The sequence below is a fragment of the Homo sapiens genome, chromosome 2 (assembly GCF_000001405.40).
Source record: "Homo sapiens chromosome 2, GRCh38.p14 Primary Assembly".
Taxonomy (NCBI): domain Eukaryota; kingdom Metazoa; phylum Chordata; class Mammalia; order Primates; family Hominidae; genus Homo; species Homo sapiens.
Window position 1 is genome coordinate 63,334,304 of NC_000002.12, and position 16,848 is coordinate 63,351,151.

Sequence of the window (16,848 nt, forward strand, 5' to 3'; positions counted from 1 at the left end):
GCGTGCCTGTAACACAGCATCAGAAGGTTCTGATATGTGCCCAAGGTGGTCAGAGCACAGTTTGGTTTCATACATTTTAGGGAGACATGTGACATCAATCAACATATGTGAGATGAACATTGGTTCGGTCCAGAAAGGCAGGACAACTTGAAGCAAAGGTGGGACAACTGGAGATGGGGAGGGGACATTCAGGTCATAAGTAGACAAGAGACAAATGGTTGCATTCTTTAGAACTTGATTAGCCTCTCCAAAGGAGGCAATCAGATATGCATTTATCTTAGTGAGTAGAGTGAGTAGTAGGAGGCTGGTTTGCCCTAAGCAGTTCCCAGCTTGACTTTTCCCTTTAGCTTAGTGAGTTTGGGGCCCCAAGATTTATTTTCCTTTCACAATCTCCTTGGTTATAGTTATTGCTAGTGTGAAATGAAAGTAAATCTTAGGACCCAAACTCACTAAGCCAAAGGGAAAAGTCAAGTTGGAAACTGAGTCACACGAACCTGCCTCCAATTTTATTCCTAAATAGGACAGATACAAAGATTTTTAAAAGCTATAAACCTCCTTCACAATTTGCCCACGAGGAAATTTCTTGTGGGCCCCAAGATCTTTACCCTAAAACAGTTCTGTTGACTTCTACCCTGACAATGTAAATTGATAGCTTATCTTCACAGGTAAGGGACAAAGGACATAACTCAAAGTCATCCCTCTGCCCAACTGAGTGAGACAAATGCATATCTGATTGCTTCCTCTGCTCTATGTTTATCTTATTTAAAAAATGCAGATTTAATGAGCTAGATGCGTAAGTGACTATTCTTCTACCCCTTTCACATGTATATGGGTAATCAAAGACTCAAAAGAATGCAACCCCTTGCCTCTTATCTACCCATGCCCTTTTAAAATTTCTTCCTCTTTCACCAATACTTGCCCTTTTCCCTTTAAATACTGAAGTCCCCAGACCCTCTTTGGAAAAAGCATGGACCACAATTTTTCCTGTGAATCTGTATTCTTTCCTGGGCATGTCCTTACCTGTGGCAAATAAACCTCCTAAAATGATTGAGACTCTCCTTGCTCATTTGATTTACACTAGGTAATTTATTCTTTTGGATGCTATTGTAAATAGAATGAAAGATTTTTTTTTTTTTTGAGACAGGGTGTAGGCTCTGTCACCCAGGCTGGAGTGCAGTGGCACGACCTCAGATCAGTCCAGCCTCAGCCTCCCAGGTTCAAGAGATCCTCCCACATCAGCCTCCCAAGTAGCTGTGATTAGAAGCATGCACCACACCTGGCCAGGATTTCTTAATTTCCTTCTTAAACTGTTCATTGCTGGTGTAGAAAAATGCTACTGTTTTTGTGTGTTGATCCTGTATCCTGCAACCTTGCTGAATTCATTTATTAGGTCTAATTGTCAGAGGCACGTGAACCGGAGCAACTCCATCTTAAATAGGAACTGGGTAAAAATGAGGCTGAAACCTACTGGGCTGCAACCCAGCAAGTTAAGGCATTCTAAGTCACAGGATGAGATAGGAGATTAGCACAAAATACAGGTCATAAAGACCTTGCTGATAAAACAGGTTGCAGTAAAGGAGTCAGACAAAACCTGCCAAAACCAAAATGGCAACGAGAGCGACCTCTGGTCATCCTCATTGCTACACTCCCACCAGCGCCATGACAGTTTACAAATGCCATGACAACATCAGGAAGTTACCCTATATGGTCTAAAAAGAGGAGGCATGAATAATCCACCCCTTGTTTAGCATTTCATCAAGAAATAACCATAAAAATGGGCAACCAGCAGCACTCAAGGCTGCTCTATAGAGTAGCCATTCTTTTATTCCTTTACTTTTTTAAATAAACTTGCTTTTACTTTGCACTGCAGACTCACCCTGAATTCTTTCTTGCACAAGATCCAAGAACCCTCTCTTGGGGTCTGGATCAGGACCGCTTTCCTGTAACATAATGGTTTTTATGTGGACTCTCTGGAATTTTCAAAATAGAATCATGTCATTTGCAAATATAGTTTTTCTACTCTTTTTCCAATTTAGGTGCTATTTCTTTCTTTTACCTAATTGCTCTGACTAGCAGTTCTAGAACAATATTGACTAGTAGTGGTGAAAGCGAACATCCTTATTTTGTTCCCAATCTTAGGCGGAAACCACTCAGCCATTGAATATAAGGTTAGCTGTGGGTTTTCCATAAATGGCCTTTATCATGTTGAGGAAGTTCACCTCTATTCTTAGTTTTCTGAGTGTTTTTAACATGAATGGGTATTGAATGTGGTCACTTTTCCTGCATCAATTAAGATTATTGTATGGCTTTCCTCGTTGCTTCCACTCATGATTGACAGATTTTCTTATGTTGAAATGCCCTTGTATTCCTGTGATAAATCTACCCATTAGGTTGATTTCAGATCTCTCCTCTTTTTTTAATTTAATTTTTAGGTAAAATATACATATAAAGTTACCACCTTTACTATTTTTACGTGTACAGTTCAGTGCTAATAAATATATTTATATATATATTTTTCCCCTTTTATCCTCCATCTTACCCTTCCTGGCCTCTGGTAACCACCAGTCTACTCTCTATCTTCATGAGAGTCACTTTTTTTTTTTTTTTTTGAGACAGAGTCTCGCTCTGTCACCAGGTTGGAGTGCAGTGGCATGATCTCAGATCACTGCAACCTCCGCCTCCCAGGTTCAAGTGATTCTCCTGCCTCGGCCTCCTGAGTGGCTGAGATTACAGGCCTGTGACACAATGCCCAGCTAATTTTTGTAGTTTTAGTAGAGATGGGGTTTTACCATGTTGGCCAGGATGGGCTCAATCTCTTAACTTCGTGATCCACCCACCTCAGCCTCCCAAAGTGCTGGGATTACAGGCGTGAGCCACTGCGCACGGCCCATGAGAGTCACTTTTTAAGATTCCACTTATGAGTGAGAACATGCAGTATTTGTCTTTCTGTGCTTGGCTTATTTCACTTAACATAATGACCTCCATTTCCATCCACGTCGTAGCAAGTGACATGATTTCATTTTTGATGGCTGAATAATATTCCATTGTGTATATATACCACATTTTCTTTATCCATCCATCCATTAATGGGCACTTAGGTTGCTTCCATATTTTGGCTATTGTGAATAGTTCTGTAATAAACATGGGCGGGCAAAAATCTGTTGGATATAGTGATTTCATTTCTTTTGGATATATATGCAGTAGTATATATTTAAAGCAGTAGTAAAATGGCTGAATTATATAGTAGTTCTGGTTTTAGTTTTTCGAGGAACCTCCATTCTGTTCTTCATAGTGGCTATACTAATTTACATTCTCACCAACGGTGTATAAGAATTCCCCTTTATCCACAATCTCACCAGCATCTGTTATTGTCTTTTGGATACAAGTCGTTTTAACTGGGATAAGATGATAGGTAATTGTGGTTTTGATTTGCATTTCTCTGATTAGTGATGTTGAACAGTTTTTCCACATATATGTTGGCCATTAGTATGTCTTCTTTTGAAAAATGTCTATTCAGATCTTTTGCCCATTTAAAAAAAATAGGATTTTTTTTGCTATTAAGTTATTTGAGCTCCTTATATATTCTGATTATTAATCTCTTGTCAAATGAATAATTTGCAAATATTTTCTCCCATTCTGTGGACTGGCTCTTCACTTTGTTGATCATCTCTTTTGCTATGCAGAAACTTTTTTGCTTGAGGTAATCTCATTTGTCTATTTTTGTTTTGGTTACCTGTGCTTTTGAGGTCTTACACAAAATGTCTTCTCAAAAACCAATATCCCAGAGCCTTTCCCTAATGATACCTTCTAGTAGTTTTATACTTTCAGGTCTTGGGTTTAAGTATTTAATCCATTTTAATTTAATTTTTGTGTATGGTGAGAGATGGGGTCTACCTTCATTGTTCTTCAAAGAGTAATCCAGTCTTCCCAGCATCATTCATTGAAAAGACTCTCCTAGGGCCAGGCACAGTGGCTCACGCCCATAATCCCAGCACTTTGGGAGGCCAAGGCGGGTGGATCACCTGAGGTCATGAGGTCAGGAGTTTGAGACCAGCCTGGCCAACATGGTGAAACCCCGTCTCTATTAAAGATACAAAAATTAGCCAAGCATGGTGACGGGTGTGTGTAATTCCAGCTACTCCAGAAGCTGAGGCAGGAGAACCACCTGAACCCAGGAGGTGGAGGTTGCAGTTAGCCGAGATCGCACCACTGCACTCCAGCCTGGGCAACAAGAGCAAAACTCCATCTAAAAAAAAAAAAAAAAAAATATATATATATATATATATATATATATATATATATATATATATATATGGATAATTAGAAAAGACTGTCCTTTCCCCATTATATGTACTTGGTGTCTGTATCGCAAATGACTTGTCTATAAAAGTGTGAATTTATATCAGGGTTCTCTATTCTGTTCCATTGGTTTATGTGTCTGTTTTTATACCAGTGCTATGCTGTTTCAGTTACTATGGCTTTGTAGTAAATTTTGAAGTCAGGTAGTGTAATGACTCCAGCTTTGTTCTTTTTGTTCAGGATTGCTTTGGCTATTCAGGGTCTTCTGTGGTTCCATATAAATTTTATAGTTTTTTTTCTATTTTTGTGAAAAATGTCATTGGTATTTTGATAGGGATAACATTGAATCTGTAAATTGCCTTGGGCAGTATTGTGATTTTAACTATATTAATTCTTCCAATTTACAAACATGGAATATCTATTTTGTATGTGTGTCTCTTCAATTTCTTTCATCAGAGTTTTACAGTTCTCCTTGTACAGAACTTTCACTTCTTTGGTTATATTGACTCCTAGGTACTTAATTTTTTTTTGTAGCTATTATAAATGGGATTGCCTTCCTGATTTCTTATTTTTTTAATTTTTATTTTTTGAGATGGAGTCTCACTCTGTCACCCAGGCTAGAGGGCAGTGGTGCAATCTCAGCTCACTTCAACCTCTGCCTCCCGGGTTCAAGCAATTCTTGTGCCTCAACTTCCCGAGTAGCTGGACTATAGGCACACGACATCACGTCCAGCTAATTTTTGTATTTTTAGTAGAGACGGGGTTTCACTGTGTTGGCCAGGCTGGTCTCAAACTTCTGACCTGAAGTGATCCGCCCACCTCTGACTCCCAAAGTGTTGGGATTACAGGTGTGAGCCACCGTGCACAGCCTGATTTATTTTTTAGATTGTTTGCTGTTGGTATATATAAGCGCTGCTGATTTTTGTATGTTAATTTTATATCCTGCAACTTGACTGAATTCGTTTATCAGTTCTAACAGTTTTTTGGTGGGGTCTTTAGGTTTTTCTACATATAGGATCATGTCATCTGCAAACAGGGCTAATTTAACTTCTCCTTTTCCAGTTTGGATGCCCTTTCTCTTCTTTTCTCTTGCCTAATTGCTCTCACCAGGAGTTTCCATATTATGTTGAATAAAAGTGGTGAAAAGTGGGCATCCTTGTCTTTTCCAATGCTTAGAGGGAAAGTCTTCAATTTTTCCCCATTCAGTATGATTTTAGCTGTGGGTTTGTCATAGATGGCCTTTATTATTTTGAGGTATGTTCCTTCTATACTTATTTTGATGAGGGTTTTCAATCATAAAGGTATATTGAATTTTATCAAATGCTTTTTTTTGCCATCTATTGAAATAATCATATGTTTTTTGTTATTTATTCTGTTAATGTGATATACCATGTTTAGCGTCAGTCACTGGATTTTTACTTAGTCCTTTTGGGAAGCTCATGGTTCTCTTTGTTGGTGTTTCTTACGGGTATACATCTACGTCTTTGCATTGAAGGATTATTCATTCCTGTTTTTTCTGTCCAGCTTGTTTTGTTTTTTATTGAATATATTTGCTTAGCCTATCTTTACTGGTAGGTCACTGCCTCCTTTTTGGCTCAAGGTGGCTCTTTAAGCCCAGGTTCTCCTCAGCTATAGTAAATGATCAGAGTTCTGCCTGTCCCAAATGGTGCGGTCCTAAAGGGATTATCCCAGCAGTATGTGAAGGCTGGCAAGGAGTTCCTGTCCAAGGGACCTGTGAAACATACCTCCTAAAGTGTGGTGCTGCTGAATAACCACCGTGATTTGGCGTCTCCTTTGGCCAAGTTCCAGAGCAGAGTTTCCAGGGTGGAGGATAGTAGTCCTGCCTACCTACTCTGTCTCTGCCTCTCCTAAGGGATATTTCTTCATTTAAGCAGTCATGATGCTTCTTGTGGATTAACACAAGGGCAGGTCTCCTACCAGGGACCCCAATATAGTGTGACTGCTGGTTGACCACCTTAATCTTACTTTTTCCAGTATAGAAACTGTGAACTGAAGTGAAGATTTTTCCATTCACTTGTTGCCAGGCAGAATAGGAGTAAGGGGTATGATGGATGTGAAAGTCCAATTCTCCTACCATCTGCTCAGAATGTTTTCACTTCTCTGTGGCCCTGGGATCTGTATCATCCTCATATTTGAGTTCTGGGTTGTTGTTGGTAGAAATCTCACCGTTGTATATTTATTTCTGGTTTTCTGTGGGAGGGGGAGTTAAGGCAGCTTGCATTTACACTGCCATTTTAAATCCAGAAGTTCCTCCTTTTTAAAAATGTAGGCATTTACCACTATAAATTTCCCTGTGAGCATGAATTTTGCTGTACCCCGTAAGTTTCACTGTTTTCATTTTTAATTTCTGTCAAATTTGACAATGTGATTTCTTCTGGGACCTCTTAAGAGTCTTTTGTTTAATTTCAATATATTTCTGAATTTTTCAGTTTCCTTCATTAATTTCTAGGTTCATTCTACTCTGACAGAAACTGTTTTGTATGATTTGTCTTTTTAAATGTATTCAGACTTGTTTATTTTTTAAAGACAGAGTCTCACTCTGTTGCCCAGACTGGAGTGCAGTGGCGTGATCTCGGCATACTGCAACCTCCGCCTCCCAGGTTCAAGTGATTCTCCTGCCTCAGCCTCCTGAGTAGCTGGGACTACAGGAGCGCACCACCATGCCCAGCTAATTTTTGTATTTTTAGTAGAGACAGGGTTTCACCATATTGGCCAGGCTGGTCTCGAACTCCTGACCTCAGGTGATCCACCCTCCTCGGCCTCCCAAAGTGCTGGGATTACAGGCGTGAGCCACCACGCCCAGCCCCAGACTTGTTTTGTGACCTAATATAGGATCTATCCTGCAGAATGCCCTTGAGAAAAATGTATATTCTGCTGTTGTGGGTAGTGGGTAGTGTATTCTGTTTATGTATCTATTGGGTGTCGTTAGTTTATAGCATTGTTCAAACCCTCAATTTCCTTATTGACTTTCTCTCTAGAGGTGGGACATCTAGAGAGATGGGACAGAGCTATTGAAGTCATCAACTATTAGTGTATAACTTTCTATTCCCTTCAATTGCATCAATGTTTGCTTCATATATCTTGGTCTCTGCTGTTTGGTGCACACATGTTAAATATGTAATATCTTCTTGATGCATTTTCTCTTTCATCAATATATGATGTTCTTCTTTGCCTCATGTAATAATTTTTGTCTTAGCATCTTATTTTATTTGTTATTAGTACAGCCACCCCACCTCTCTTTTGGTTACCACTGCATAGAATATATTTTTTCATCCTTTCACTTTGAACCTATTTGTGTCTTTGGATATAAAGTGAGTCACTTCTAGAACATATATGGTTGGATCATGTTATTTAATCCAGTGGTCCCCAACTTTTTTGACAATTTTTCCATGGATGGGGTGGGGAGGGGGTGATAGTTTTGGAATGAAACCATTCCACCTGAGAGCATCAGGAATTAGATTCTCATAAGGAGCATGCAACCTAGATCCCTTGCATGTGCAGTTCACAATAAGGTTCATGGTCTTATGAGAATCTAATGCTGCCACTGATCTGACTGGAGACAGAGCTCAAGTGGTAATGCTCAATCTCCCACCACTCACTTCCTGCTGTGTGGCCTGGTTCCTAACAAGCCATGGTACCTGGGGATTGGGGACCCTAACCAGGTCCATGGCCTGGGGATTGGGGAGCCCTGATTTAATCCGTTGTTTCAATCTTTGCCTTTTAAGTATCAAATTTAATCTATTTACATTTAAATTGATTACTGATAAGAAAGTACATCTACCATTCGCTATGTCTTCCATAAATCATATGTGTTTTGTTATATAATTCTTCCAATACTGCCTTATTTTGCAAATTTTTTCCAGTGTACCATTTTAATCTTCATTGCCTTTTCTGTATATATTTTTAGTTATTTTCTTAGCGGTTACCCTAAGGATTATAATTAATGTACTAAATTTATAACAATCTAGTTTCAATTCACACCAACGTAGCTTCAATAACATACAAATACTTTGCTTCTCTATAGCTCTATCTACCCTGTTATTATTGTCATAAATTACATGTATATATATTGTATCCCCATTTACATAGGTTTTAATTATTGTTTCATGTATTAATTTTTAAATCATGAAGAAAACTTACAATCTAAAAATACAGTAGTATTGTCTTTTATATTTACCTATGTAGTTATCTTTACACGTTCTTTATTTCTTTCTATGGCTTTGAGTTACTGTCCAGTGTCTTTTCATTTCAGTCTGAAGAACTCCTTTTAGCATTTCTTATAAGACACGTCTACTAGCAAAAACTCCCTCATCTTTTATCTAGAATGTCTTAATTCTCCCTCATTTTTAAGAGATAATTTTGCTGGATATAAAATTCTTTGTTGTTGGTTTTTTTCTTTGAGACAGAGTCTTACTCTGTTACCCAGGCTGGAGTGCAGTGGTGCCATCTCAGCTCACTGCACCCTCTGCCTCCCAGGTTCGATTCTCCTGCCTCAGCCTTCCGAGTAGCTGGGATTACGGGCTTGTACCACCACATCTGGCTTTTTTTCTTTTTTTGCATTTTTAGTAGAGATGAGGTTTTGCCATGTTGGCCAGGCTGGTCTCAAACTCCTGACCTCAAGTGATCTGCCCACCTCGGCCTCCCAAAGTGCTGGGATTACAGGTGATTTTTTTTTTTTCTTTAAACAGTTTGCATATGTCTTCTCACTGCCTTCTGGCCTCAATGATTACTAATGAGAAAAGTATCTGTTAACATACTGAGGATCCCTTCTACATGGATTACTAATGAGAATATCTGTTAATATATTGAGGATCCCTTCTACATGACAAAATACTTCTTACTTTCTGTTAAAGATTCTCTCTTTGTCATTTGGTTTTGATTATAATGTGTTTTGGTATTGATCTTTGAGTTGATTCTGCTTGAATTTTGTTGAGCTTCTTGCATGTGCAGATGCATGTCTTCAATCAAATTTGGGATTTTTCTACCATAATTTCTTCTGATAGTCTTTCTTCTTTTTCTAGGGCTCCCATAATATATATGCTGCTATGCTGCATATACAGACTCTGTTCATTTTTCTTCATTTTTAAAATTTTTATTCCTCAGAGTTGATCATTTCAATTGTCCTATTTTCATGTCCTATTTTAATGCTTCTTCTGCCAGGTCAAACTTGATGAATGCCATCTAGCAAATTTATCATTTTGGTTCTTATATTTTCCAGCTCCAACTTTTCTATTTGGTTCATTTTTATAATTTCTATCTCTTCATTGATATTCTCTATTTGCTGAGGCATCATTATCCTGGTTTCCCTTAGTTTACTGTCCATGGTTTCCTTTAGCTTTCTGAGTTTAAAGGAAGACAGTTGATTTTAAGTCTTTGTCTAGTAATTTCAATGTCTGGGCTTCCCCAGGGATACGTTCTATTTTTTTTTCTTTTTTATGTGAATGGGCCATACCTTCCTGCTTTTAAACTTTTGTTGACATTTTAAATATTTTAATGTTATAACTCTGGAAATCAGATTATTTCCCTCTCCATGGTTTGCTATTGTTACTGCTGAGGGCTGCAGTCACCCATTTTATTAGTGACATTCCCAAACTAATCTTGCAAAGCCTGTATTCCTTGTCATTTGTGGTCGGTGAAGTCTCCATTTCATTATCTCTGTCATTAGCTGGTGACCTAACAGAGATGCCTTTAAATCCTGAAGCACAATAACAAATGAACAAAGACAAAAATTTTCCGAGAACTAGGGCACTCCTTCACTGTTTAGCCAGGCTGCCTGACATTCTGCCTTACCATTTCTTTCTTACTTGTGCAGACTCTGAAAGTCCTCCAGAGGTGTAAACCCAGGGTGCATCTCATTATTTCTGAGCCTGTGTCCAGCTCTGGGCATGGTGTTGTACACAATTCACTAACATATGCAAGTAGCTATTCATGGCTCCTATTCACCCAAATATCTTTCTCCTCATCCTTTTCTTTCCCAGGTTTCTTTGGTCTGTCTGCTGCTTTCCCCATTTGCCATCCCTTGACTGAGACAGCTAGGTATTTTCTCAGACATATAGGTATTACATGTCTTTACATGCTTTAGATACACACTGCCAGAAATGCTATTCCAGCCTGAGGGATGTGAAAAAACCGAACCTCTGTATCAGTTCCTCTGGAAACCACCAGACTGGTCAAAATACACAACCACAGTTTCTGAGAACAAGGTTTGTAATGGCCCTCTGGCACCAACTAACCACACCAGAAATGTCCTTATGGCCACTATCACACTGGGAACTGGGGGTGATACACAGGTAACCAAAATGCCACCATGCTTTCTAACCAAAATTTAGCAGCTTCTATCTTCATTAAGCACTCACCTGATTGCTCTGTTTCATTAGATTCTTTATAATCTAATTTTCAAAAAATTGATTCTGTCAGTTTTTGCCTACTTAACAGTTGCTTCAGTGGAGGCATTAATTCTTGGAGCTTCTTACTCAGCTGTGTTTAATGATATCACTCCTGCTTCTATTTATAAACCGCAGTGTGGCATCTACTACCATATACATCTCCAATTTCCTATTACACAGAAAATTTACTACAGCCCCAGTTGCTGCATTCTGAAGTTTATCACTGTATTTTCATGTTAGGACTACACTTTCCATAAGCTGCTCCTAGGCAATGGGTGATTATTCAGAAAGAGCAATACTAATGCAGTCTGTTTCTAGGTGACATAAGGCACTTTAGTTGGGCAACTTTGGCTTGAAGACTCCCAGTGCCCTTTCTGTAGAACCGCTCTGCAGTACATGCAGTTGGCAGGACACAGATAGGCAAGTCTCACTAAGTCAGTGGAATTTGCTGATTGCTACTAAGCTGTATATGCTTTCAGGAAGGCTAGTGAAAGACTGAGTGCTATTTACAGGTAATGACTAAATGTGACAGAGAATCTCTCTGGTAGCTCACAGAGGTTCTTATCTTCTTAATTTGAAGGGCAGACATAGTAGACAAGTAGAAGATCTAATTGTTGATCAGAACTCTAGAGATGTTAAGATGCAACATCAAGGCAGGTCTGCTTTACTAAAGTCAGGGAACTGCTTAGTAACACTTGGAATCCTGAAATATGAAATGGGTACCTCTGAATAGATGCCCTTGAGTATTCTGATACTGCAGAACTCTTGAATCTGAGCCAGCACTCCACTGTACTAGAAGAAGCTCAGAGACCTTTCCCCACAATGTAGTACCTACTCCCCTCTCTCAGGAAATGCCTCTACCTTTATCCTGGCTGCCAGGCTGATAACTACAGTCAAATCTCAGCACAATCCAGCTGGGGACATGATGAACCTGATAAGGTAGGAGACTATACAACTAAAGAGTTGCAAGAATTCGACACTATGTGCCAGCAAAAATAGGGGAGCACCTCTCGGATTGGATTAAGAGGATGCTTGAACATGGGAGCTGGAATGGAAAACTGGGTAAGAGTCCATTTATGTGGAGGTACTTTTTCAGGACACAGGATTTAACACCTTACTGAGGAGCCCAAGAGATGGAGCTAATTGCTGCTGGAATGGCTCTTAGATGCCTGGAAAAAGTAATGTCCAATACTCAATGAAGTGAAATACCCCAATTGTTATGGCACAAGAAAAAATGGAAAGCATAGCAGGGAGAGTAAGAATCATCTGAAGCCGAGATGAGATGCAGTGACAGTGGGTTCAGTTTATATTATGAACCTCCCATTTCACCTCCCCTCAGTTACTATGGAATAGCTGAGCCTATGTGGAAAAGTAGACCTATTCAGCCAATAGGTGGATAGTGGAGATCTTGAGAATGCACCCCTCAGATTTCTGACTTCATTCAACAAAATAGACCAGCAGCCCTGGCTGCTATGGTCTGAAATCCATTAGTGCATCTGCACAGAACATATAATTCCCACAGGCTGCTCCCAGCCAATCCCCAGCAGGGATTCTAGGGCAGCTCCCTTTCTGGGAGACATGGAACTGCCTGTTATTGTTCTTTTCCTAGCCTCAAGTCATCTCACTCTATGAATGCATAGCTCAGAGTTCAGCCAAAGACTCAAGGTGACTCTTATGTAGATTTATGGAGCTCTTTCTCCACAAAGCACCTGCCTCTCCAGTACACAAACCTGCAAATTCAAGCTGCCTCATCTTCCCTGAACTCCAACTAACTCAAAAAACTGCCATGTTCCACTTGCATTCCCTCTCTTTGCTCTCTGGTCTAGAAAGTGCCTCTCATCATAAAACCAGAGGATCATAAGGTTGACCTCATTTGTTTTTAATTCTCAGGGATCAGAGTCCTATACTGTCAATCTTTTAATATCTAAAGACAAATTTTCAGTGCATTTTGTCCAGTTTAATAATTGTCTATGGCAAGAGGGTCAGTCTGTTTCCAAATAATTATCATAGCTGAAAGCAGGAACTCTCAAATAATATTTTCATTAAATATTACAACCCTAACAACAATAGCCACAGTAACAACAACAGGTAATATTTATTAGGATCTTCTGTGTACTAGTTACTATTTTAAGTACCTTACATATATTAATTCATTTAATCTTGACAACAGCCCTGTTAAATTGGTAGTACTATTATCCCCATTCAACTGATGAGAAAACTCAAGTACAGAGATGTTAAATAAGAGTTGCCAGGTGAAACACAAGACACCTAGTTATATTTGAACTTCAGATGAATAATAATTTTTGATTATAAGTATATCTGATACAATATTTGGGACATACTTATATGAAACAATTATTTATTATCTGAAATTCAGACTTAACTGGGCATTCTGTATTTTTGCTAAATCTGGCAACCCTTAACTTGTCCAAGCTCCCATAGCTACTCAATTGCATAGTAGGACATGGAGCCTGGCAGTCTTGCTCCAAAACTCACACTCTTTACCATAGTGTTGCTCTACTGTCATTGGAAAAGAATTAAGTATTTGCCCCAGGCTTATAGATCCTTCTTTAGATCTGGTTCTTTGGTTTTCAGAATTCAAGATTAGAAATGCCATGTTGTAGTCATGGAAAAAGAATGATCAAGTAGCTCCCATGTTGGGCTGTTTTTGTGGGGGGGTCATTGGGTGTTGAAGAAATAACTTCTGAGAGGGGGAAATTGCCCCCCCCGCCCCCGACTGGATATTCATCTGAGCTTTATTGAGTCCCAGCTATGGCCCTGACTTTTGATTGTGGCCCTCCCTAATGCCAGCCCCCTCTTTGACTTATATGTTAGGGACCTAAACTTCTGTCATTTTGGACCTTGCAAGTTTTAAAATTAGTATCATTCAAAAGTTATCATCAGCTAGATGTCAGCTATAACTACATTTACTTTTATAGGGTATTTTCAAAATCCCCTAATGCTTGATGTCCTGTGGTAGGACTAAAAAGTTTAGAAAAACTAATGACATTAGTCTTTCTCACCTTAAGAAACTCAGTCTAGTAGGCGAGATAGCCACAAACACAATGATAATAGCTATCACTTACAAAGTACTTAATACATGCTAGTCACTTTATTATTTATTATTTATAATCTTGGCATTTAATTAAAGTTTGGTAAGTTCTTCATCTATAAAGATGGAAATAATAGTAATAGCTTAAGTAACTCACCCAAAGTTACCCATCCAATAAATTAGGAAGCTGGGATTCAAACTTAGTTGTGTTTGACTCCAAGCCTTGGACTTTTCAAAAATTACTGCATGCTATCTCCACAACTGACTTAAACTTCAGACTATAAGTGCTATAGCAGAGCTGTCAATGAAGAATTAGTGAAGCATTCATAACTAGTGCATCCTCCTCAATACCTAGTAGAGGGGCTATTCTTAATTATAATTGCTGTTGATTATTGAGATGACATGTACCAATTAATCTTATTGTTGGTGTTATATTTCTAAAGACATTATTTCTAAGACTTTTTTCTGACAGCAATGATGAGGAAACTGGTAATAGACTGACTCTATTACCATATAATAATGGTAGGAGATACCATGTATATTTAATTGTGCTTATATGGGTATTGATGATATAATGTTGCAAAATGACTACGGATATTATAATTACATGAAAAATAATACTAAGTTGAAGAATAATTCCATGACAGTAAATCAGTCTAAAATAAATTAAAATAGAAAACTCCAAATTAATGGCAGCAAGTATATTTAAAAAATAAGAATATGAGTAAAAAGATAAGGCCCAACAAAGGAGAGTTTCAACACTACTGTTTAACCAAGGATATGCCTCTGGAGAAAACTGTTAACAAGTGGGAACATATTCTGGCTCTTCAGACATCAGGGATATTCAGAAAAGCTGAGCTGATAAAATAGCAGTATAAATTGTGGACCTGAAAACATGTTGAGATAGTGAGATGTCCATAGAAGTTTTCAGAAATGTTTCTCATGGCCACTTATGGAAACTACAACCGAGTTCTCCTGTTGAAGTAGGAGAGGTCTGTGTGCCTGTGTGTTTAGTATAGGGATGAAAATTTGTGATTAATAAATCTGTAAAAAATTTACATGGATTGGTTGTTCATGTTAAATTTTGTCTGTGAAGTATGAATAGAAGTAATGATTTAGTCAAAGTTCCTGGTTTTTTTTTCTAGAAATATGAGGTTGTTGGAAGTACCTGTTTCTTTACTAGAAATTTTAACTCATTGTTTTTGTATATATAGGGCATAAATTTCAAAAATAAAATAATTCAGATCTTAGTTTAAATGTATAGAAGTACAATTTTATTATTCTAAGTCATAAAGTACTAAAAATTTATTTTCTTTTAATTTTATTTTAGTTAATTTAAAACCCATCCTAAATTTCACTCTATTCTAAGCTGTATCAAATTAACCACTACTCATGACTATTTTGTACCTCTAGACTATCTCTTTCTATATGAATTATTTTCAAAGATAAATTATTTCTGATTAAATTATAACATCATACAAAAATTAAAGGTTTATTGGCATTTTCATTAATCAATTAATAATGAATGGTAGTCAGAATCCTCTGGGGAAAAAAAACCCAAGTTGGTTTCTTTCCTTTTTAGCCCCCATATAAAAAAGGTATATAAATCTGCATTAAAATGACACATTTGAAGTTGAAGCTGTTTGGCTTAGGAACAGTCTTATTTTCATCCTTTGAAGAGAAAAATACCTTTACGAAAAGGGAGGCTTATAAAAACTAATTTACTAGGCTAGCTCTACCCCCTGGTTTCTTACAGCACTGCTCATCTCTGCTGAATAAAAAAATAGCAGGATTATTTCAATTTAGTTGCAGGCTCTCCCAGATCACATTCAGGGAATAGGCTAGATTCCAGCCCTCCTTTTCTGAAAGACTGAAATGGAAGAATTCATGGGGTATAGGATTTCCTCTCCTTAATACTGTGTGCTTCTCCGTATGTTTACTGCGGCACTATTCACAACAGCAAAGACTTGGAACCAACCCAAATGTCCATCAATGGTAGCCTGGATTAAGAAAATGTGGCACATATACACCATGGAATACTATGCAGTCATAAAAAAGGTGAGTTCATGTCCTTTGCAGGGACATGGATGAAGCTGGAAACCATCATTATCAGCAAACTATCACAAGGACAGAAAACCAAACACCACATGTTCTCATTCATAGGTGGGAATTGAACAATGGGAACACTTGGACACATGGCAGGGAACATCCCACACCGGGGCATGTCGGAGGGTGCAGGGCTGGGGGAGGGATAGCATTAGGAGAAATACCTAATGTAAATGACTAGTTGATGGGTGCAGCAAACCAGCATGGCACATGTATACCTATGTATCAAACCTGCACATTGTGCACATGTATCCTAGAACTTAGAGTATAAAAAAAGAAAATAGGAAATAGAGAAAATCAACGAAACCCAAAAAAAAAAAAAAATACTGTGTGCTTCTCTTTTGCATACACCCTCCTCTCTCTAACAGCCATATCTGAGCCAACCCATTGTCAGTCCCTGGAAGTTGCGGGTTTAAGGCTTACACTGTGAGCTACTGTCCATTTGATCTGAGGTCTAAGCCCTTTCTTTGCAGGGCACAGTATAGGGTATGTTGAAAGAGGAAGGACTGTAATAGTCCTTCCCACTCCATTTTGGCTCTAAATTGTACTCTTGCTTAGTGTAGGGATTATGTAAAGCTTTGGATGTCTACTGGCAATTTGCAAGCATTTCTGTGGCACGGCAAGGCAAATTATAAGCTTCTATGGTGCTTTGTTTACCTACTAAATGCAAATAGCCAATTTATATACTTTTTAGACCTTTCCTCCCTCCCTTGCTTTCTATCCTGAAATCTAATTAAATAATAAAATATTTTGAAACAATGAAAATTTCTAAATATTTGTCTCTAATTTTATTAAATATCAACATTTATTTATTATTATTATTATTATTATTGAGATGGAGTCTCACTCTGTTGCCCAGGCTAGAGTGCAATGGCTCAATCTTAGCTCACTGCAACCTCCACCTCCTGGGTTCAAGTGATTCTTGTGCCTCGGCCTCTCAAGTAGCTGGGATTACAGGCGTGTGCCACCACATCTGGCTAATTT

General features: G+C 38.3%; 1 protein-coding gene across 21 annotated transcripts in view, besides 1 other annotated feature; it reads right to left on the reverse strand.

The window, feature by feature from the left end:
- Window positions 1–16,848, reverse strand: part of WDPCP (WD repeat containing planar cell polarity effector) — a 721,268-nt gene that overhangs the window by 214,745 nt on the left and 489,675 nt on the right. The gene's annotated exons all lie outside the window — the stretch shown is intronic.
- Window positions 1,496–1,997: an enhancer, noted in NCBI's record as "NANOG hESC enhancer chr2:63562934-63563435 (GRCh37/hg19 assembly coordinates)". NCBI's record gives its function as "activates a minimal SCP1, AML or CMV promoter by ChIP-STARR-seq in primed H9 embryonic stem cells {active_cell/tissue: H9 hESC(primed)}" and the evidence as "EXISTENCE:reporter gene assay evidence [ECO:0000049][PMID:30033119]".